The following is a 23,729-nucleotide window of genomic DNA, read 5'->3' as shown; positions in this document are numbered from 1 at the left end:
CAGTCACATGGCTTCTTTTTCCTAAGCCATCTGTCACAGAGGTCTGGAATTTTATGTGAATGTTGGTTGTGCAGTCTTAACCCAAGTTTTTTTTTATTTTTTTATGAAAAATGTCAGCAACTACAATATTTAGCATTTTACTTTACGTTGGCCATTAAACTTGATTACTATAGCTCTGTTTCATTGCTATTTACATATCAGCTACGAAGCCAAAAATTGTTTTGATGCGCTCCTGGCAGAATACATTGTGAGATCATGGAGAGAGAGCACACGTGGCACTGATATGGTTAATATCTTGGATTTTTGTAACTAAGGTTTATTAATGCTGGTATAAAAATGTATTTGATATTATACAGATGGCATAAGATGTTGTGGTTACTAAGTTATTATCCCGGATAAGCTGTACTGCCAAATTCCGGGCTTAAAACTATCACGAGAGATTAAACTATTTACTAAAAAGGGACAGAAAGATACGGCCAAAGCATCTTAGTACAACATATTAGAAGCGTATTTACCTCCCACAAATATAGTAAAGCATATCTATCTCATAGGCTGAGAGATTGAAAATACAAACTTTGCAGGTAAAATAAGCAAATAAAAGAAGGGCTTTTATTTTCTAAGTCGGGCACAAGCAGCAAGCCCAGCTGATGCAGCCCAGTGGCGCCTGTTTGGGGGTTGGGAGTGGGGGGTTGTTTAAAGGGAAGAGTTAAAACAAATCCCCTGGGAAGTAGCTGGTTACCACAAGAGTTAAGGATCTTGCTAAATATTCAAAGAAGAGTGGCCAGCCAAGAGAAAAAAAGAGAGTAGCCAAATTGTCAAGAAGTTAATTTTAAATTGATGGATGATGGCGAAAATACCAGAAAGGTGTTATTCGACCCATTTAGAAAAATGACAGGCAGCTTCCTCCTACCTTCTGAGAATGACTGCACAGTAATGTTCACAATTCATGACACCACATGAGCCATCCCAGTGTGCGAATCTTGTAGAACATACGAGGCACGTGAGCAGTTTGCTGGAGCTTGAACCAAATACAGAATGGGGTACTGTTCCTCCCGACACAGAAAAAACAAAACCAAGAAATAACACATGGCAAAAGGTAGAAGGTATCTCAAGAAGAAATATTGTGCGGTGGATTTAGTTTTAAGTCTCACACTAAGTGTGGAGAAAATAAGCTGTTTTATAGTATTCTTAAGTTTGCACTATAGGGCTTCAACCTCAGTCAGGCTGTCAGCTGCTACCCAAAGCACCGCCCCCACCACCACCGGTTTGAAGCATGGTTTGCACTCCCTGCCTCCCTCTCCCTGCCCGCCACAATTTAGCAAAGCATTTCCGGCTCACATAGCCTAGGGTAAAATGTTGCTTTTATATTAGTTTAATATTCCAATAAAAATTCTCTTCCAGTGGGTTGTTTTGCATATTTCTCATGTGAGATTAATATTATGATTTGAAGGGTTGGAAAGTTATACATGCCTTTTGATAAACACAAATGTGAATGCTTTAAATGATGAATTGGGAGTGATAATTCTGTAAACTAGAAAAGAAGATTTAAAGCTAAACTTGTAAATGTGTGTGTATGTGTATATATATACACATATATATACACACACACACACACACACACATTTTCATAAAACTGTTTTAGCCAATATATTTAGTATTTGGAGCATCTTATTTACATTAAGCTTACTTTGTTTAAACCCAGAAACACAAAGCTCACTAATGGGGCTGTTCTTAAAGTCTGCCTAAGAATTGAACATTACCCAACGCAAATCAGAAAGCTAGATTTAAAAGCAGATATACTTACATAAAAGCTTACATTTAAAATGATCCCTTAAAAGCCCCACATGGCTAGGCTGTAACTGCAAACTGCTTAAATGTTTTTCTGTTTCCTATTGTATACCAGGGAGCCGAAATAGAAGTGGATGAAAATGGCACATTGGACTTAAGCATGAAAAAAAATCGAATCCTGGACAAGTCTGCACCCCTAACTTCCTCTAACACTTCTATTCCAACTCCTTCCTCTTCCCCATTCAAAACAAGCAGCATTCTGGTCAATGCAGCATTCTATCAGGCTCTTTGTGACCAAGAGGGCTGGGACACTCCTATCAACTATAGCAAAACTCACGGGAAGACAGAGGAGGAGAAAGAGGTATTGTTTCCATATGTCAATCAATAAGTTGAAGACAGCATGATTGCAGGGTATCACTAGCTTTTCCCTCCTAAATTATATTTCACATTCCTGTTTAGATAATACATAATTCTGTACCTTGCTTTAGATTTTGATAAAGTGGTGATTTTTAATGTCAGAGGAAATTCATTAACAAATCCAACTTTTATTATCACTTGCCTAAAATAATGTCACTATAGTAGATTTTATTCCTATTAAGGCTGAAATTTTGTGCCCTGCACAAGAGATTATATTATCTATCCCTTCATATAGCAGCTGTAAGGGGCAATGTATTGCTCAACATTGAAATGCCAGCTTACTAATTCTTTCTGAACCAGAGGGTTGAAGATGAAATCAAATCAGGGTCAAGTAAGAATCTTTGAGTCATGTCAAATTTCTTTCCATGGTTTTGTGAAGGGACTGTGTTAGCATACCTATGTATAGACTCATTGTTTAAGGCATTGGATCGAAATGTTGGATGTCTAAATTGAATTAATCTTGAAGTCAAGGAGACCTATTTGTGTATTTGATTATCTTGGAGGTGGTTTTGGCCCTGAAAGCCAGATGGTGCGACAGTGCAGGAATTCATCTAACCTTCGCCTTATGGCTTGAGCCACCTGACTAGGCCTGATTAGCCATGGACTACTCAGTGTCATTCGAAAGAACTGACAGCCAGAACCCTCGGTTGTTTAGACTCTGTGTAATTGCAGATGTGGCCTTAATTATTACAGTAAGTCAGTCCTATTTTGCTCTTTGTCAGGGAAGTTGTTGATGGGCTTGCCAGTTGATATGTGTAAAGAACTGAAATAGCCATTCTCTGCAGAAGTGTGCAGCGCCTTTTACAGCTTTTTGAAGTTTAGAGACTTTGGGTGATGAGATCTAATTTGATTTTTGCACATGCTTAACATCTCAAAGTATAAGTCAACGTACACAGTTTTGATCACAAGATTGGGCTGTTTTTCTTTCCCCCTTCCCTTCCCTTCCCATCGCTCCCCTCCCCTCCCCTCCCCTCCTCCCCTCCTTCCCTCTCTCCCTTCCTTCCTTCCTTTCTTCCTTCTTTCCTTCAGCACAGTTTTGCCAACATCTCCAAGTCCAGTCAGTGACATGGGACCTGGAGATACAGCAATGAATAGGACACACTTCCACCATGCTTGTGTGCCACAGTCATGCATGTGCTCAGAAGACTGACCTGTAGCCAAATACACTGATAAACAGAGTAGCACGCACAGGCACACAATGTGGAGAGGGAGGAATGGCTAACTGCATCAGGTGGCTGGGTGTGGACCCCTGGGAGACATCCTCAGCATCTGAGGCAGCCTGTGTGTCTCCACCACTCAAGCCATCACATGGAAGGATGAGGGGATTCACACACTGCAGCTTTTGATTAGATTCTGTCATACTGGCCTTAGTCATTTTATTCTGCTTGGCTTTTCAAAATTCACCCAAAGCGTCCAAGGATGGCCTTAATCAATCTATCATAGTACTATTTTAGAAGAATCATTTATTAAAATAATACATATTTGATGATAACGAATGTGAAACTGATGCCAGCAAAGTTTAAGAAGCTCATTTGCCTCAAATGACGACCACAAACTGGCAAGTGTGCATCTTTCCCCAACCACTGTGCCCACTGCCACCTCAGGCTTGTGCCAAAAAACAGAGGTTACACCTAATTATGTCTACGTGTATCATCTAAAAGTCTGTCAGTGTTCACATCCCTCGAGTATCCTGCACATCTTGTCTGAAATGGAAGTAAGCAGCAAGCCAGGAAGTGGACAGGTTAAGAGGCACAATTGTGATGAGATCAAAATTGTTGGCGCAGTCCTACTACATACGAGTTAGCTTTGGGTAAGGGAATGCGCTTCAATTCACATGACTGCTTAATCTCCAGCCAGGCCACTGCTGCTCAGATCATGGCACATTGCATCTACAGACCTAAAGGGAAACCTGACCCTTGACCCAGGATGTGTGGATGTGGGTCCAGTAGAAGTCCTTATGCTACAGGAAGGACAGTGTCTCATGAATTAAGTATAACTGCTTCATGCAGGTTCAAAATCCCAACATGTTCTCATTTCTGGGAATATCTCGATGCCGTATGCAGAGTGGCACTTGGGCTTTCTGCACTCATCCTTATGATTATGGCGAATGTATTCACCAGAAATTGTCAGGCATAAGCCTCCAATCCTGGGTAGTAACAAAACACATTTGCTTCAAATAGGTTCTCATCTTCATCTAGGGTGTCTTGCGTTGTTTGACACTGATTATACTTTTGTGCCCTCAGCAAGGATGTCAACATTGCACTCTTCAGATTCTCAGAAACCCATTCCTATCACTTCCTTAGCCACAGTTCTTATCACCCAGAAAGCCAGAAAATGAGATTTCATAAGAAATATTTTATGTTACTTTTTAATCTTGTTTTTTGCTTAATTTCAAAAAATCATCTGGATTCATCTTGGTAGACTTGAGTCTGTTTTTTTCTCATGCATATATATCTGGGACAGTGTTTCATTTCCCAGCAAATTCACACACACAAGATGGGATTCTTTAGAGTGGATTGATGCTCTTTACAGAATGGCTTACTTACTCCAGGTCTGACAACACAGGCTTGGACTGCTACAATTTTCAACCTAAGTATTGTGACATCTGGAATTTAGAAGCTATGTGGGAATTCAGTGTCACTAAGAGTATCAGAGAGGACTTTGGAGATGCTAAGTGAGGTCTTGGACTCAGTGTGCTTGCCCTAGGTTTGAGCTGACAGAATATTTGTTTAAGCTAAATGCTTATTGTCCCAGTTATCTGAACAGGGTGATTCATTGGTTGGGAAAGCTGAGGCTGGTGGAGACACACACATAAAAGTACTTCTGAATCACTCTAACTCCTGATATGGTTTCTCACTCTTGTTCTCTGTTCCTTCATCCGTGCCAAGGTAATCTACTAACAGTATTTTTCACATCCTGTTCTGAATCTTGAAAATGAAAAATGTAATGTTTGGTAGGCATTATTTTGAAAAATTAGATTGTATTAAATGCGCTCATTGACAAGCTATCAGAGGGATACCACGTGCAATAAAATACAGATAAGGAACCTTTATACGCAATGTCTCATTATCCCAACAATCTTGAAAAGCAGGATTATTATCAGATTTTTTAGAGGAGAAATGTGAGGGGGGTAAAGTTGTTGCTCCTGGTCATATGAAATTAAGTAATAGGCCTGGAATTCCCTACAACAAAGAAAAAAAAGAGAAGAAGGTAAATGAGGAAAAGGAAAAGAAAAAAAAATCACCAAAAACTGGAGACTGCTTAGGGGTTATTGAGAAAAATTTAATAGGAAAGAAAAAAGAGAAGAATGAAGAAATGGCAGGTGGCAAGGTGTGTTGGCGGCAACAGTTGTCTAAAGTGTTTCTGCGGGTACAGGACTGGAGCTCCTGTGATCCAGGCAAGTCCATGCAATGTGACCACAAAAAACAGTTCCAGGACTGATCCTTTCTTGTGACTTTCCAGTGAGCTTCCCTGGAATAGCTATGTGCGTTCCAGACAATCTATTGTTCACATTTGGAGACTGGAATATGGTTATGTCCCTGCTCCCACCCACGTCTTTCCCTTTGCCACTTCCCTCTCCCCCGACCACATAAGACACATACACAACCAGAAATTGAGTGATTATTTCTAATTCATTGTTATCTAGTTCATATGCACAACAGTTGCTTAATTTTGGTGGTAATTTTCAGAAAATATTGTCTGTCTCTCTCAGTGAAATAGCCTGTCCAGATGCCCCCTAAAAAAAATTCCTGAATCTGGAAAAAACTCAAAATATCTCGAAAGGAAAGTGTTGAGAAATAACTAGGGCTGTCAGTTTCATTCAACTGTCAGTTCTCCAAAGATTTCAGGGCTTAAAATGTTAAGAGTGCCAGATGCTATTATCTGTTATTCATGTTACCATTATGTCCTGGTCTTTACTGAAATCAATATAAACTTCCATCTGTACGTTAAAGGAATTTCATTGCATGCATGTACTCTCTAAACACACACATATATACCACATCCTCTTTTACACAACCACAAAATAAAATTATTATTTTCAAAATTATACTTTAAATTTTGGAAAAAGATTTTTACAAATGCTATTGATTTACACTGGCTGCTGTTTAGGTATTCATTTAATATAAAATGCCTCCATAACAAAACTAATTATTTAGTGACAGCCACCTGGATTTTAATACATACACTCTCTGAAGGTTTCTAAGGGTAGAATGTTGAGCAAAGAAAAGGGGAAAAGACAATTATTTCATAAAACTATTGTATGCATATGAGTCTATGTGTTAAAGTTACAAAATATTTAAAAGGTCGTATGCAATAAAATTATCCTGTTGAAACATTACCACATATTACTATACCAAAATAAATAACATATATCCTGCAAGCTTTATGTTTATATTATTTAGTAAAATAACTTAAACTTTCATAATTGATTATTTCTTTCAAAATTCCCCATTCTCTTGCCTTCCATAATTATAGATTCAGCCCTAAAACAACAGCTAGAAACTTGTGGTAATCTGTAAATATACATGTCTTCTTAGAGAGACTTTGTTCATAACTTTGCCATAAATAATAAAATGGCTCTTTTTACTTTATGCCGTTTTCGTTAAAAAAAAAAAAAAATCAGCATCTAAACAGAAAAACAAAGGCTGTTCCACATTGAGACAATATCAGATTTAGCAATTGTATCTACTTTCAAAAAGCCAAGACATTTCTAAATTATAGTGGAAAATACTACTCAGGCCAAATCCAGATAGGACTAAATAAAGTAGATGGCGGAATTATCAGGTTTAAGGCCTTAAAATTTGGAATTTTTTCATTTTAGCCATTTACAGCATAAAACTTTGAAAGGTAAGTGTTAATCATCTATTTTGCTGTGGATCCCATGGAGGCAGCATTAAACTAGCACTTCTCTTTGCATCCTAGTGTGGAATTATTATCAAGCATACATTTCTCTTTATTTTAAAATCCTGTCTTTTTATCGGCTTCTGTTTTCAAACATTTACCAGTAAAACAAAATGAAACACTTAATACCATCAATAATATGGATAAATTGTACTAAATCAGGTTTCATTAATGTAATCTGAAGACAATGTCACTTGAGACAGTGTACCAATGTATTTACTACAGTATGCTCTTGTGTGAAATAATTGATTGAATTGTTAGCCAAGTAATTAATGAAAAAAATTACATTTGCCTTGATGACTGAGATCGGCATTTAGAATTTTTCTTTGGCTGGGAAAATCCAGGAATTTTGTTTTTTTCATATTGCTTTTGAATATAGACTCAGAATTACTAAAATTATATTTTGCTATAGTATTTTTATATTCATTTAATTTAAAAAAATTATTTTGAACGATTCAAAATAGTTTACTTACCTTAAGTACATCAGTACTTTTGAGATTTAGAAGACAGTTTTTTTTATTAGTTCATCTGATTTTAATATTAAAACCAGAAAGTATTATATTTACCAGATACAAGATCAATGATGAAAGTAAGCTAATTATGTGATTGAGAAAAACCATCATTTGTTATCTGTGAAATAATACATCACTTGGTAAATAAATTGTTTGATAGGATTAGTGAATCTTCTTTATGAAATCAAGGTCAGTATTAAACTTAAGAGAAGGGCATGAAAATTAGGAATATCCAACAAGAAATTCCATCCAGGAGTGAAAGTGCTACAAGATACCCATTTAGCAAAAGAAGTAATTTCAGAAAAACAGGAAGTAATATAAAAATAAAAGCAATTATCCAGAAAGATCAAATTAAATGCCTAAATTTAATTTAGCCTCAGTTATTACATATTTAAACAAATAATTTAGATCTTAATTACCTGTACATTAGAAAGGGCATTCCGTTAACCAAAAATTCCCCCTTTTCTGTCTAAAAGTTTGTGTGATTCATTTTTGCAATATTTCTTTGGTTTTACTGCTGTTATGACTGCTGGACATATAAACAATTCCTGTGCTCTCTAGGGAGCATTCCTAATACAAGAAACCTTGAAATATACTAAAATATTAATTACATGGGTCAAGAAATACCTACCTCTGTAATCATATTTGCCAAAATGTGAACTTTTGAAAGGTGTTCCATATCAATTACACTTTTTCATTCTTCACTTAGGATAAAGATCTGTAACAACCAGGACATATTCTTATTATCTCATTTATTTCTTTTCTTTTCTTTTTTTTTGAGACGGAGTCTTGCTCTGTCGCCAGGCTGGAGTGCAGTGGAGCCATCTCGGCTCACTGTAACCCCCGCTTCCCGGGTTCACGCAATTCTCCTGCCTCAACCTCCTGAGTAACTGGGACTACAGGCACGCACCACAGCGTCCAGCAAATTTTTGTATTTTTGGTAGAGACGGGATTTCACCATGTTGGCCAGGATGGTCTCAATCTCTTGACCTCGTGATCCGCCTGCCTCGGCTTCCCAAAGGCCAAGGATTACAGGCATCAGCCACCTCGCCTGGCCTATATTATTTATTTCTTATGCAAATCCTCTAAGGTATTTCAGCCAAGTCCAAGTCCAAAGCCAAAACTCAAACCTGGCTTCAATGATTTTAAATCTAGTTGTCTTTCCAGGGTTCCCTAATGGCTTCTGTGTTTTGTTTGTTTTTTGTTTGTTTTCCAGAAAGACCCAGTGAGCTCTCTAGAAAATTTAGAGGAAAAAAAGTTTCCTGGAGAGGCCTCTATACCAAGCCCTAAACCCAAGCTTCATGCAAGAGATCTCAAAAAGGAACTAATCACGTAAGTGGTGCCCAATGCCATGCCCTCTAAGATTCTGGAATGAAGATTCAAGTTCATGACTTAAAGTTACAATATCCTGGCTTATACAGTTGATGTTAGGGTGATTTCTACCAGTCAGCAGTTAAACGTTAAACACGCATCTAACCTGAGCTAAGAGGGTGTACATGATCTTATGCTAACAGAATTAAAAGCCTGTTGATTAAAAAACAAAATAAGATAACACAATTAGAAATGCTTCTTAAACTGATAACCATTTACCTCCAGATCTAAGGGTTGTCTTCTGGGACTCTACTAACCTTCTAACACTTGATGCAAATTGTTATTTGGGCAAGGGAGTTATTGGTTTTCATCACATTTTCAAAGGGGTTCTGAGGCCCAGAAGAGGTTAAAGAGCAGGGTACCCGAAGGCAGTAAGTACGAGTTATGTACTAGCGGGTGAATGAGTGAATCAAATGCAGGAAACTGTTTCCCATGTGTAAGTGATTAAATATTAATCAAGTCTACTCATATATAAATCTATTTAAAGCTGCCAGTTAATGAGAGTTTACAGCAAGGAGTAACGCGTCCACTTAGGAATCAGGACTGTACCCTCTCTTCTGTATCCCTCATCAAAAAATATGTTTAAACTTTTCCAAAAAAAAACTGTAAAAACCTCTCCTGACCCAGCTTCCACCTGGATTCTCTGTCTCCCCTTCCTTTTCCAGCTGAACGTATCAAGAAAGTTGTTGCTACTGTGTGATGCAGTTTCCCTCCTGAATCTTTCCCAGACCGATCTCCAGGGACCTCCCTTCCCTCGGCATCCCCTTCCCCTGTCAGAAACTTGGTCCTGGAGCCTCCTGTTCCTACTTGACAGGCAGCAGGATGCCACAGAGCTGATCTCCCTCCTCCACAATCCATTGTCTACACTTGGCCTCTAGGATGCCTCACCTCTGGACTCTTCCCTCATCTCACTGCTAGCCCTTCTAGACTCATGTGTAGCCTTCTAAAGAGCGCGGTGCCTCTGATCTCCGTCCTGGGACCCTTTCTTCCTGCTATCTGCACTTACTCCTGCTGTGGACTCCTTGGCTGCCACCCCGCTGTGACCTCCAGATGCCCACCCACCACCCCACAGGGGCAGTGAGTGCTCCCATCCCCCAGCCTCCCACTCTGGGCTTCTTGCTTCTCCTAAGCTCTCTAGGAATTAGGCAGGGCCTTAGGGTTGCTGTTCCCTCTGCCCAGAATGCTGTCCCCAAGGCTTCTGCAGGGCCCACATCCTCTCCTCCCTCAGCGCAGCTCTTCTCTCAATCACTTATGTGAGAGGCCTTCAGGCTACTGTGCTTCCCCACCCTCAGCCCTGATGCTCCCATTCCCAGATCTTTTCTTCACTTCCCTCCACTCTCTATTTTCTGCCTCCTTTACCAAGAACAAAGCCTCAGAGGGCACAAAGTGGGGACGGGAGGTCTTCTCTCCTCCGTCTTTGCTCTCTACCTTGTCCGCGTCATTGATGCATAATATTTACTATGCAACCTCTTATTTCCCCTTATTTCCTCTTCTGTACCTTGTCCACACCATTGGTGCATAATATGCACTGTGCTGCCTCTTATTTCCCCACCTACATGGACAGTGACTTGGGAGCAGGGAATGCATTTCAAATGCTGGTGCCAAGAACAGGGCCTTGCACATAGTAGGTGTTCAGTAAAAATTATTCCGAGTCCGTCATCAGTTTGCCCTACTGGTATGTGAGCGACTTTAAAATAAGCTTAGACTTTGCATTCTCAAAGGATTTTGTAGGCAAACATTACTGGCTGAAATAGCATTCTCCCTTGTAAACTTGATGTCCACCTGAGGCTTGGTGGTTGACGGATACAACGGATGGTTCCAAACATGCTGGAACTTAAATCGGCTTGAACACTGTTTCAGGTTCAGTGACTTGAGACCTTAGAAGTCACTTCTAACTTCTTAGAAACTTCTTAGAAGCCACTTAGGCCAGCCAGACACCTTTTCCCACATGGACCTGCTGTTTGAAACTTTTCATCTTTGTATGTATTTTTTTCATGTGTTATTTTTAATATCTTCAAAAATGGCAAAATTTTATCCTTTGAAGGTAGATTGTTGGAAATTGCTAAAAGTCATCCCAAACTAAATGTAGTGTAAATGATTGAAAATTAACCTGCAATACCATTTTGGATCAGAAAAATGAAGCATGATTATTTTGCAAAGGGCACTTCTCCATGGTATGAGGGTAAATTTAAAAGAGGAAGGATTTCAAAAAGATATTGAATGATTTTTGGAATATAATCATTCCAAAAATTCTTAAGAAATTACTCTCTCAGAGGCCTCTTAGTTCATCCATTTTATCTATCTATCTATCTATCTATCTATCTATCTATCTATCTATCTATCATCTATCATCTATCTATTTATTTTGAGATGGGGTCCCGCTCTGTTGCCCAGGCTGGAGTTCAGTGGTGCGTTCTCGGCTCACTGCAAGCTCCACCTCCCAGTTCAATCTCCCACCTCAACCTCCCAGGCAGCTGGGATTACAGGCGCCCACCACCACACCCGGCTAATTTTTGTATTTTTAGTAGAGACAGGGTTTCGCCATGTTGGCCAGGCTGGTCTCAAACTCCTGACCTCAGGTGATCCACCCATCTCAGCCTCCCAAAGTGCTGGAATTACAGGCGTGAGCCACCACGCCCAGTCTAATTCATGCATATTAGACAGGGTGAGTGCTTTGATGGATATCACTTATTTGCATGTGTCTGAGTTGGTATATTTGTCTTGTAAAAGTCATACTACATTCCATGTCACCCTGTCCTTATTATATTTTGCTTTGTGTTTCTAACAGTACCTTGATTGCTTACCAAAAACTTTGTCTAGATTAGGACTTTTTGGATGTCACTAATTATCTTAGAATTTCCTTACGGTTTCAGTGCCACTTACTGAGAAAACTAGCTAGTTTCTTTCTTCCAGTTTTTGTATTTTCATCTGAAAACAAATGTATCACCCAACTAATATTGGCACATGTCATTATGTAAAATTTTTCACTGTAGATTCGGAATTTAGTCTAGCTATCAAAATTCCAAACTGCAACTTTCCCCCGTATAATGTTGTCTCCAGTTCTTTATTTCTTGACCTTTTAATACAACCAAACTTAAAAATAAATTATCAGCTAATTGAATGCATATTTCATTATCATATTTTATAGGTAATTTATAGCTGATGTTTAAAAACCTCTGGCACTTCTTGGCTTCTCCTGGCAATATTAATCGGAGTAATTTAAAAATATAAAATAGGCCGGGCGCGGTGGCTCATGCCTGTAATCCCAGCACTTTGGGAGGCCGAAGCAGGCAGATCACCTGAGGTCAGGAGTTCGAAACCAGCCTGACCAAAATGGTGAAACCCCGTCTCTACTAAAAACACAAAAATTAGTCGGGCATGGTGGTACACGCCTGTAATCCAAGCTATTCGGGAGGCTGAGGCAGGAGAATCGCTTGAGCCCAGGAGGCGAAGTTTGCAGTGAGCCGAGATTGCGCCACTGTACTCCAGCCTGAGCGACAAAGCGAGACTCTGTCTCAAAAAAAATAAAAAATAAAAAATTGTGTGTATATATATATATATATATATAATGCAATGCTGTTTGTAACACTAAATGGCGATGTATTTCTAAAGTGGGAATTCCCAGGCAATTGAAACACCTCTCACTCTGAATACTCCAGTTGTATAATGTTCAGAAAAGATTTTTTTACATTTAGTGAGTGAATGGCACTTGCAAGATAACTCAGCCGAAATGTTAATAACTGGTTTTTGTCTTTACTTTTTAACATATATTTATAGCTTTTATAGTTTTTTTTCTGTTATCTTATCCAGGAAAAGGGATGGGGAAAGGAGATAGATGACTTAGCTTGGATCAGACCCTGAAAATCAAACATTCCTTTGAAAGATGGGAATGCTCTAACTCTTATAGTTTCTTTAGATACCTGAAAATGATTGGAAAGTGGATCACAGGAAGAAAAATACTTAGAAAGTGATAACTCAGAAAATATAGGAATAGCGTTAGTTTATCCCAAAATGTCCCTTCAAAAGGCTAAAACATGTATTCTGTATATCTGGATAAGTCCTCGCTTTAGGCAGGATGTCAAAAAAAGATCAGATGCGTGACTGGTGTAGTTGATGTTCCCCTCTAATAACTGACACCACCGCAAATAACACTGAGTAGGCTGGGGTCCACCTGCTTATTACAAATGAGTGACTTTCAAACACCATCAGAGGAAACTAAATGACTGAGAAACCAAGGAATCTATTAATTGTGGAAGAAAACTGCTAAGGATAACTAACTACCTTCTTACATGATTATTATTATTTTAGAGATGGGGTCTCACTTTGTCACCAAGGCTGGAGTGCAGTAGCACAATCATAGCTCACTGCAGGCTCGAACTCCTAGGCTCAAGCAATCCTCCTGCCTCAGTTTCCTGAGTAGCTGATTATATTATTTTTACAACACACATAAGGTGGACAGGACATGACCAGGTTCAGAGATAAAATGAAATGCAGGGGCACACATCTTAATGGAGTGAGATTCTTGGCAGATGGCCTGAGAGCCTATTCTTAGGCTAATGGTGAATTAGCAATTGTCTTCGCTAATTAGTCAAAGATTTTCAGTGGTTTCTAAAATGTTTATAAAGTTACTAGGTTGCCTTGCTCTTAAAAACTCACAAAAATTTCTTTCTGGAATATGTCATATAATGGGTGCTGGTGTTCCTAAGATCTGCTATCATAGTAAAGCATGGGTTTCTAATATTTATTTTTTATAACATATGTATTTTTCTTTTTCTTTTCTTTTTTTTTTTTTTTTTTGAGACAGAGTTTTACTCTTGTTGCCCAGTGCAATGGTGCAATCTCGGCTCACCACAATGTCCGCCTCCTGAGTTCAGCCGATTCTCCTGCCTCAGCCTCCGAGTAGCTGGGATTACAGGCATGCACCACCATGCCTGGCTAATTTTGTATTTTTAGAAGAGATGGGGTTTCTCCATGTTGGTCAGGCTGGTCTCGAACTCCCAACCTCAGGTGATCCACCTGCCTTGGCCTCCCAAGTGCTGGGATTACAGGCGTGAGCCACCATGCCCGGCAACATATACATTTTTCAAATGAATTAAAACATCTTTGATTGCTAACTGACAACATCACAAGGACATCACTTTCCCACATCAATGGAATCAAATAATCGAATGTGATGTTGAAACAGGTACCTAAGGAAGTAACTCATCATGCTATGATTTTTAGTTTTCTTTCAGGTAGTCCACTGGTTCTTATATAATATAAATCCTTGGTACACTAGCTTCTGCATGTCCTATACTGTGTTAACTTATCTCGCACAGAGAAGCTACCTCCTCCGTAATCTACTGGGCAGAGGAAATGAACCTGGGAAATGCGCTTGACTCTAATGATGTATTTTCTATTGACTCAGCTGTCCAACACCAGGATGTGATGGAAGTGGCCACGTGACAGGAAACTATGCATCTCATCGCAGGTACCCAATGACCTCATGTGCAGTCAGATTTTCATGGTCTTGTTCTATTTTAAATACTTATTCTCACCCTTTCTATCCATGTATTATCTGAAGCAGGAAATGAGTTGGTTGGGTTTTTGGTTTATTTTCTTTTTCAGAAATAAAATTATGTGATATAAAAATCATGATTCTTGGTCAAAATGGTTTTCTGATCCTGTAGTCCAGGTTATAAGTGAAAAGTTGAGCTCATGTCAGGCTTCGGTTCTGTGTGGCTTGAGGACTCATGTGGAATGAGGAATAAATACAACAGTGACTCAAATCGACCATTTGCCCGAGGAAAAGTAATACCCTCAATCCTGGGCAAATAACAAATTGAAGCATTTGAGAGATTAAACAGTGCAAAGGAGTTGCTTTAATCTTTCTACTCACCATCTCCATTGATGGGATTTGTCTTCTCTTGGAAAAGCACCATCACCTGGCTGTGCAGCAGGAATGGACTCTGTGTGTGGGTGATCATTGCATCCCTGAGCTTTAGAGTTGGGGGGTCTCATTGGGCTAAAGTCATTCATTTGATAAACAGAAAATCTGAGTCTATGAGAAATAGTTGAAGTGCCACCAGCCCAGACTGGCGAGAAGAGCAAAGCCAGATTCAAAGCCAGTTATTTTTTTTTCCCAATCCCCAGTCACCAATAATTTAACGTATGTTCACGACTCAGGATGCCATTTGACTCAGATTTGTATATGTCAGTGTTGTGTTGTGTTTTTTTCCTCATCCCTCTCTAGTGTTTCTGGATGTCCTTTAGCAGATAAGACTCTAAAATCCCTCATGGCTGCCAACTCTCAGGAGCTTAAGTAAGTGCGGGAAGCGTGGCCGGCTTGCCCTTCATCCACACGGTAGGACCCTCTCGTTCAGTGCCCATTCATTGCCCAAGTGATCAGCAACAAGCAGTATGTCCTGCCTGCCAGGATCACAGCAAAGGCACTTTCTGACTAAAGCGCTGGGATGACTGAAACAAAATCACTGTAATTTAATTTAGTTAATTTGCTTGCTTCCGGGGCTTTGTATTTTATAATAATTTTTAAAAGTGTGATGTAATAGTTAACACAATACTTTTTTCTGTAAATTTCACAGTCTATGTATTAAATCAGACCTGTGAAGGAGTCTCAAAGCATACCTGCCATTTAATTTTAAAGAAATTGCATAATCCTTAACCTGCTGGGTATTTTGATTCGTACAACTGCCTTTCACTCTTGGGTGCCAAAAACACCCAAACCAAGAGTTTGGGCTCATTCCTGCCTCACCTACAAGATCTCAAAGTCACATGTGTATTAACTTTTACTTTGTGATTTCATTTTTCCTGCTCATCTTCTTTTAATACAAAGTTCTCATTTGTTTATTTTCATATCTTATTATATTACGTATAGAACAATAAACATTTATAGTCTACCTTTTAGTCCTTAAAAATATGATAGGGCATAAATTTTAAAAGATAAAGAAATAGGATTAAACAAAACTAATTACATCTTTTTACAAATAATAAAGCTTTAGAAAAAATGAGTATTACTACATCTACTGGTAAAACAATATGCGTAGACAGCAGCATCAGCGTTTGGTGTCTAAAACACATGTAACATTTCACGTATTATATTTTCTTAGTATTTTGTTAGTCCTTCACTTTTTTAAGCTGTTTAAAATTTTTTTATCTAAAAATTTTAAAAACTAAGTTTATGAAAGAAGATGTGATAATGGACAGATATGAAAATTTGGAATCTTAGTACCAAAAGTAGTAAAATAAACTGTGAAATATACTTTTCTCATTTTCTGTCTTTTTTCCTTTTTTCTTTCTTTCTTTTTTTTTTTTTTTTTTTTTTTGAGATGGAGTTTCGGTCTTGTTGCCCAGGTGCCCAGGCTGGAGTGCAACGGCACAGTCTCGGCTCACTGCAACCTCCGCCTCCCAGGTTCAAGCGATTGCCTGTCTCAGCCTCCTGAGTAGCTGGGATTACAGGCATGCACAACCATGCCTGAGTGCTTTTTGTATTTTTAGTAGAGACACTGTTTCACCATGTTGGCCAGGCTGGTCTCAAACTCCTGACCCCAGGTGATCTGCCCGCCTCGGCCTCCTAAAGTGCTGGGATTATATGAGCCACCGTGCCTGGCCACTTTTCTCATTTTCAGTGTAAGGTGCAATTTACTTTGTCAGTGTGGATTTTAGAAGTCATTTTATTGACTGGCATTTTTCTAGACTAAAATATAAGTAGTAAGTAGAGACTAATAATTAACAGAGTGAAAAGTGAGATGTACCAAAACATCTTACTGAATTGCTCTAAACTTCTACATTGCCACATCTTAATTATAGCTATTGGGTCTCTTAAATATTTTCTCTAAAACTTGCTTCTAGAAAAATGTTGGTAATACACTGAAAACATGTAAATTGAGAGATCCTATAGGAATATTCATTATTTAATATTTTTATACAGCTATCTAATAAGTAATGTCTTTGGTTTTTTCCATAGATATGTTTTTTCCATACAAGAAAATTTCTTCCATGCAAGAAAAATCAAAGAGACATTTTATTGACCTCTTGTTTAGATATTCATGGAGAATGCCCCAAAACGAACGGTTACTCAGCACAGATATTTCCAATCAATATGCTATAAAACCACTTTTTTACTAAAAAATGTTAATAGAAAAAGACCAGCATGTAAAACTTTCTTATAATGGAAGATACATATTATGTCTTTAAATGGTTGATAAAAGACTCAATGCAGGTTGCTCTGGTTAGCCAGAAGAGATGCATGCTCATTTTATATTACATTTGAAAAAAGAAAAAAAAAAGGCAATTTGTTCCCTATTTTCTGACTCAGGCTTGAATATAAATGCATTCTGTGAAAGTTCAGGGGAATGGAATGTAAGGAAAGGGATAGTAAACACATTTTTCTTTGGATTATTGTTTTTCTCAAATGGAAATTTGATGTGAACCACAGTGTGCATTCAGAAAAGCAAGTATTTTGTGATGGCCTCTAGTTTTTGTTTGTATTGGGGATTTTCTAAAAAGACAGCAAAAAGGTGAAAGTCTGCGTAAAATTTTATATTTAAGAATATTTTGAAACCTATTCCTAATCAGCATTCCTAGTAGAAATTGGATTCCCTGTCATCTTTCACTTTTCTCATTCCAAATTTAATGGTTGATTGTTGGTGTAGTTATTGATGGATTTTCCCCCAAAGACTGTTTGACTTGGGCCATGAAGCAGGACAGACCAGGTGCAAATTATTGAGGTTCTTTGATAATCCCATAAATGTTCCAAGTCTCTGCAGTTCACGTGTATCACTGTTGTTCATCTGAAATCTATGGATTATCATAGTCGCACAGCATATCAGAGAAAATAAATTATTCATAAAAATCATTTGGAGGCGGGGCACAGTGGCTCACGCCTGTAATCCCAGAGCTTTGGGAGGCCGAGACGGGCAGATCACCTGAGGTCAGGAGTTTGAGATCAGCCTGGCCAACATGGTGAAACCCTGTCTCTACTAAAAATACAAAAATTAGGTGGGCATGGAGGCATGTGCCTATAATCCCAGCTACTCGGGAGGCTGAGGCAGGAGAATCACTTGAACCTGGGAGTTGGAGGTTGCAGTAAGCCAAGATCGCAGCATTGCACTCCAGCCTGGCCACAGAGCGAGACTTTGTCTCAATAATAACAATAATAATAATAATAATAATAATAATAATTTGGAAAACTTTTCTTTTTACATAAAAGGTAAGAACTTTGCATGATGTAGACAGAAGCCCAGCAATAAGTTGTGGACTGATTTTCAAGTCCCTTCTATATGAGGTTAAAAAAAAAAGAATGTACAATAAACAACAACTAATCCATTGTCACTCAGTAGTCATATATCCTTAAAAATATTTAAATTGATTATTAACCAAAAGATAATTATATTTAAGCAAAAACAGTCTCACACAGAAAGCAGCTCTTTGTTTTTAGTTACATTTGGCTGTGTGACCCCGCCTCCCTCCACGTGAACTACAGAGACTTGGAACATTAATGTGATTACTGAAGAACCTAAATAACTTGAGTGTGACCCCCACTCCCCCAACTACAACTTCTCAGCCCATGCTCTCTTCCTGTGCCTTCCAGGTGTCCAACCCCAGGCTGCGATGGCTCGGGGCACGTGACTGGAAACTATGCTTCCCACAGAAGGTAGGATTGATCTTATTTCTGAGATGTGGAAATGAGCTTGTCGGCAGCAGTCAGAGAGATCACATAATTTTGCTTTGTTCTTTGTCGGGTCCCTATTTCAGCTTGTCCGGATGCCCTCGTGCAAGGAAAGGTGGTGTCAAAATGACCCCTACCAAGGAAGAAAAAGAAGACCCTGAACTGAAGTAAGTGCAACAGTTGAGACATGGGGGTCAGCTGTCTCTTGTTGGTAAAATGGGAGGGAACTTGGTTGGGATGCAATTGAACACGGATTGAGTTTCAGGGAAGGTGTACCCTATTAAATATAAGCAAGAGTCAAACTATTTGGTGGTTTGAGAAAAGTTTCCAATTTATATCTACACTTCCACAGCTCTTTGATAATGCAAAAGATTGTTTTAAAAAGTAACAGTTTCATACATTTCTCAATTGTTTTAAAGGAAAGTATTATTGTGGAAGTACTATACAATGATAAATATGGCAGCATTTTCCCCCGAAACTTTAATTTTGCTTAAGGTGAAATTATATCTAAATTGAATTCCTTCCTCTAAGAAAGGTCATGGATGATATATGCAGATATAGATTAAGTTGTTTTCTCAACAACAGTTCTAAATGCAATATTTAAACATTTAGAAACTCAAATTCCAGTTCTATGAGTAATGTGCTATGCAGCGTCTGTTAAGGCAGTTAACATGTTATACCTTTGGTCTTCGGAAGCAACATAACATAGTCCTTATGTGGTTGGCTCTAGACCTAAAAAGTGTGGGCATGAACTTGGCTCCACTTCTTATAAAATGGGCGGCAGGTTACCTGAGCTCTCTAAGCTTCATTATTCCTCATCTACAAAATGGGATAATAATACTCTCTACCCAGTAGATTGTAGTGAATATTAAGTGAGATAATGCATGAAAATCGCGTAGCTCTGAGCCTGTTTATGCAATGCTGTTTTGCTAGTTATGGTGGCATCTTTTATTAAAACTCTATAATTGCATGGTTTGTTCTCTGGAGAGCATAGGACTATCACTGCCTTCTTCCTGGCTGGTAATGTCTCTGCTTTCTCTCTAGATGTCCTGTGATAGGGTGTGATGGCCAAGGTCACATATCAGGTAAATACACATCACACCGCACAGCTTCTGGCTGTCCTCTGGCTGCCAAGAGACAGAAGGAGAATCCTCTCAATGGAGCCTCCCTCTCCTGGAAACTGAACAAACAAGAGCTACCACATTGTCCCTTGCCAGGCTGCAATGGGCTGGGCCATGTAAATAATGTTTTTGTCACCCACCGAAGGTAACATGAGTTTTCTGTCTTTTTGTTGTAGTGTTGTGATCGGTTGTCGCCTAGGCTGCCTTGGGGAGAGGGTTGTGAACAACCCCCTAAAGGTTGTTCACTGTAGCAGTTGAGATGTCATAACATGAAGTCTTGCTGTATAGATACTGGATGAGCATGAAGAATGAAAAATGTTATTCTCTCTATTTCTTAAAATTACTACACAGTTTTCAAGTGCTCTAGAAAATGTACAGTTGGTTTTATTTGTATTCTAAAATATTGCTTAGGCTGCTATTTCTTAACGGTTCAGTCATTTAATGGTTTACTTCAGTTCCAAGTGGTGATATCTATTCTATTATGTTATGTAATTGCAAACTTTTACTTTACATATTTATAGCATTCCCTCTGTCTTATGGACTGGCTCAATTTGGGGGCAAAATTGTAGTTATTTTGCTACTGGGAGGATGTGACTCATCCGCAGCAGCCAGAAAGAAAATGACACAGTGACTGCAAAGTGTGCAGCAGGATACAGGAGATCTAGAAACCCTTTTATAGCTTCCCAGTGACTGAATTCCTTTACCACCGAGTGTCATGCATTCAACCAAGCCCTTTCTTGGGCAACAGTGATCTTTGTCCAGCTTTTTGGTTCACATTCCACCTAAAGGGAAAGATTAGAAGCTTCCCTACATATTTCTCCCTACAGGGGGTCCTGTCTTGTCTTTTGGGCCACTGTACATGATGCTGGTTTAAAATCCAATGAAGCTTTAGGAAACCGTTAATGTTTTGTATATAAGCAGTGTAAACATTGAGCAAAATTGGGGCTTTTTGAGATTTTGCTCAGTTCTAAAGTTATATACGGATGATATCAGAAAATAAAGCCTTCCAGGAATTGCTTGTTTAAAGATATTTAAATATTCAGTAAAACCTGTTTATGGAGAAAACTTGACTTTTTCCAGTGGTTTATTTTTTGATGGTTTTCAAATGTAGACTTATGTCCACAATAGCACACATTATTTTATTCTGAATTTGAATTATTATTTCATATTCAGGAACTTCAGTCACAAATCAAGTATGCCTAATGGCACATTTACTGTACAATAGCTTGAATTCCTTGTAATGACCTCAGTAATATCCATGTTGATACTGCTAATGAAATATTAATGCTGTACTGTGGTGAGCACATCCCTCAGTTAGCAATAATGAAGTTATCTTTAAAACTTGTGAAGAAGTTTTAAATGATGATGCCAAGGCTTGGTGAGGATATGGAGCAACAGATACTCCCATACTCTGTAGGTGGCAAAGCAACTGATAGTGCCACTTTAAGAAGCAAATTATCTTTAAAGAGTCAATTTGAAAACAACAAATGCACTTGCCCCAGCACACACTCAGACTTATGCCCGGAGGATCTCTGCATATGAGAACCCGGAGATCTGTCTGACCACATCTGAGCAGTGTTGCTCTACTAACTCCAGACTGGAAACAACCTTGGTGCCCACTAACAGTGGAGTGGGTAAATAAGTAGTGCTTATTGATGGTGGTACATGCCTGTGGTCCCAGCTACTCAGGAGGCTGAGGCAGGACGATTGCTTAAGCCTGGGAGTTTGAGGCTGCAGTGAGCTGTGATTGCTCCACTGCACTCAAGCCTGGTGACAGAACAAGACCCCATCTCTAAAAATAGAATATTCTTTTAACTGCAAATACACATCATAGGTTCCTGTTTACATATTATGTATTTCATAATAACAAAAAGAAAATTCTGATTTCAAAAATATAGGCTGCAATATTAATGCCAAGGTACTATTTTCTTTTCTTTTTCTTTCTTTCTTTCTTTCTTTCTTTCTTTCTTTCTTTCTTTCTTTTCTTTCTTTCTTTCTTTCTTTCTTTTTCTTTCTTTCTCTCTCTCTCTCTCTCTCTCTTTCTTTCTTTCTTTTTTGAAACAGAGTCTCACTCTGTCGCCCATGCTGGAGTGCAGTGGGCTCGACCTCGGCTCACTGCAACCTCTGCCTCCCCAGTTCAAATGATTCTTCTGCCTCAGCCTCCTGAGTGGCTGGGACTACAGGTGCATGCCACCACACCAGGCTAATTTTTGTATTTTTAGTAGAGACAGGGTTTTGCCATGTTGGTCAGGCTGGTCTCGAACTCCTGACCTCAGGTGATCTGCCCACCTTGGCCTCCCAAAGTGCTGGAATTACAGGCATGGGCCACCACACCCAGCCTCCAAGTTATTATTTTCTAGGAGATGGGAAGCAGTGAAGAATTTAGACAAAGGTAATTCAGATTTCAGCATTCTTGACTCGAAAGTTCTCTTGCAATTTAAAATATTTAAGAAATTGGATTTAATTTGGGGTATCCTCTTTAAGGTGGAATACTCTTTCTTTTCTATGTGTAGAATTTAATGGAATTGAATTTCTCTTGTGATTTCAAATACTTAAGAGACTGTAGTTAATGTGGGGTATTCTCTTTAAGGTGGAATGCTCTCTCCTTTCTGTGTGTGGAATTTCTTTCTTTTTTTTTTTTTTTTTTTTTTGATGGAGTCTCACTCTGTCACCCAGACTGGAGTGCAGTGGTGTGATCTCAGCTCACTGCAACCTCCGCCTCCCAGGTTCAAGCGATTTTTCTGCCTCAGCCTCCCAAGTAGCTGGGACCACTATACCCAGCTAATTTGTTGTATTTTTGGTAGAGACGGGGTTTCACCATGTTGGTCAGGCTGTTCTCAAACTCCTGAACTCAAATGATCTGCCTGCCTCAGCCTCCCAAAGTGCTGAGATTACAGGTATGAGCCACCGTGCCTGGCCTATGTAGAATTTAATGGAATAATATGGCAAAACGCCTCGCTTATGCCTGGCACGCAGTAGGGGTTCAACACAGATGATCTTCTTTCCTGTTTGTGAAGATAATATTAAGCCTATATGTATATATATGCAGGATGACTTACATGACTTGGAATATAACTCACAACTGGCTTTTATATGTTACATATTTTGAATCTGAAATCTCTGAGATTGTTCAATTTCTTTCCCATCACTTGTTACCTAGTAATAGCTGACATGTATTCAGGGTTCTTGCCCACAGACAGCACCCTTATAAGTAACTTGTACAGTTTATTCCTTTAAAACTTTGCAAAACCCTGTGAGCTATAGTTATTATAATTATCCTCAGTTGACAGAAGATGAAACAAGCACAGGAAAGTTATGGAATTGCTTTGAATACAGGTTGGCACGTGAAAGCCAGTGTCACCCCACTTCCCCTAAGGTTTAATGATGGGTCCTCACCATGGGCCAGGCACCAAGCTGAGGTGTCACAGGCACTAGTGCATAGACTTTTCTCAACCAAAATGGGAATCATTACAAAACACACTTTGTAGGACGTTTAAGAACAATTTGACCCACACACTATATCCATATTATATTTATATAATAACTACCTTCAAACCTTGCTTTAAATCTCTATGTGACAAAATTTTCCCTTTGAAAAAAATAGCAATCTGAGAAGACAAGTGATATATTAAAACACACACACAATTATGGATGTTTGTAGCTTTAAAATCAGAAGTCCTGTGATTGACAGAACTCATTTAGTGCTATGCCATATCTTTGTGATTTTATTGAAACTTAGTAATAATATATTGTAAGCAATTATGTTCACGAGATACATTGTATCACCTGCCATTTTGCTTTAAGAAGGCAGATGAAGATATAATTTAAAATTGCAGCTGGGCACCGTGGATCACGCCTGTAATCCCAGCACTTTGGGAGGCCAAGGCGGGCAGATCACTTGCTGTCAGGAGTTCGAGTCCAGCCTGGCCAATATGGTGAAACCCCGTCTCT

At 38.9% G+C, this 23,729-nt stretch overlaps 1 protein-coding gene across 61 annotated transcripts in view; it reads left to right on the top strand.

Annotated features, from left to right (window-relative positions):
* ST18 (ST18 C2H2C-type zinc finger transcription factor) overlaps window positions 1–23,729 on the top strand; it is a 299,042-nt gene that overhangs the window by 257,999 nt on the left and 17,314 nt on the right. For 51 of the 61 annotated variants that reach the window (NM_001352836.2, NM_001352833.2, NM_001352830.2 and 48 more), the window contains 7 exons: window positions 1,904–2,149; window positions 8,836–8,951; window positions 14,398–14,460; window positions 15,223–15,291; window positions 18,580–18,642; window positions 18,744–18,824; window positions 19,702–19,923. In NM_001352836.2, coding sequence (NP_001339765.1) covers window positions 1,904–2,149; window positions 8,836–8,951; window positions 14,398–14,460; window positions 15,223–15,291; window positions 18,580–18,642; window positions 18,744–18,824; window positions 19,702–19,923 — 860 coding nt within the window. The remainder of the gene's footprint in view (window positions 1–1,903; window positions 2,150–8,835; window positions 8,952–14,397; window positions 14,461–15,222; window positions 15,292–18,579; window positions 18,643–18,743; window positions 18,825–19,701; window positions 19,924–23,729) is intronic. The other 10 variants (NM_001352871.2, NM_001352872.2, NM_001352876.2 and 7 more) reach the window with 1 other exon arrangement.

Source organism: Homo sapiens, chromosome 8, assembly GCF_000001405.40.
Source record: "Homo sapiens chromosome 8, GRCh38.p14 Primary Assembly".
In the NCBI taxonomy this organism is placed as follows: Eukaryota; Metazoa; Chordata; class Mammalia; order Primates; family Hominidae; genus Homo; species Homo sapiens.
This window is presented reverse-complemented; position numbering and strand designations above follow the sequence as displayed.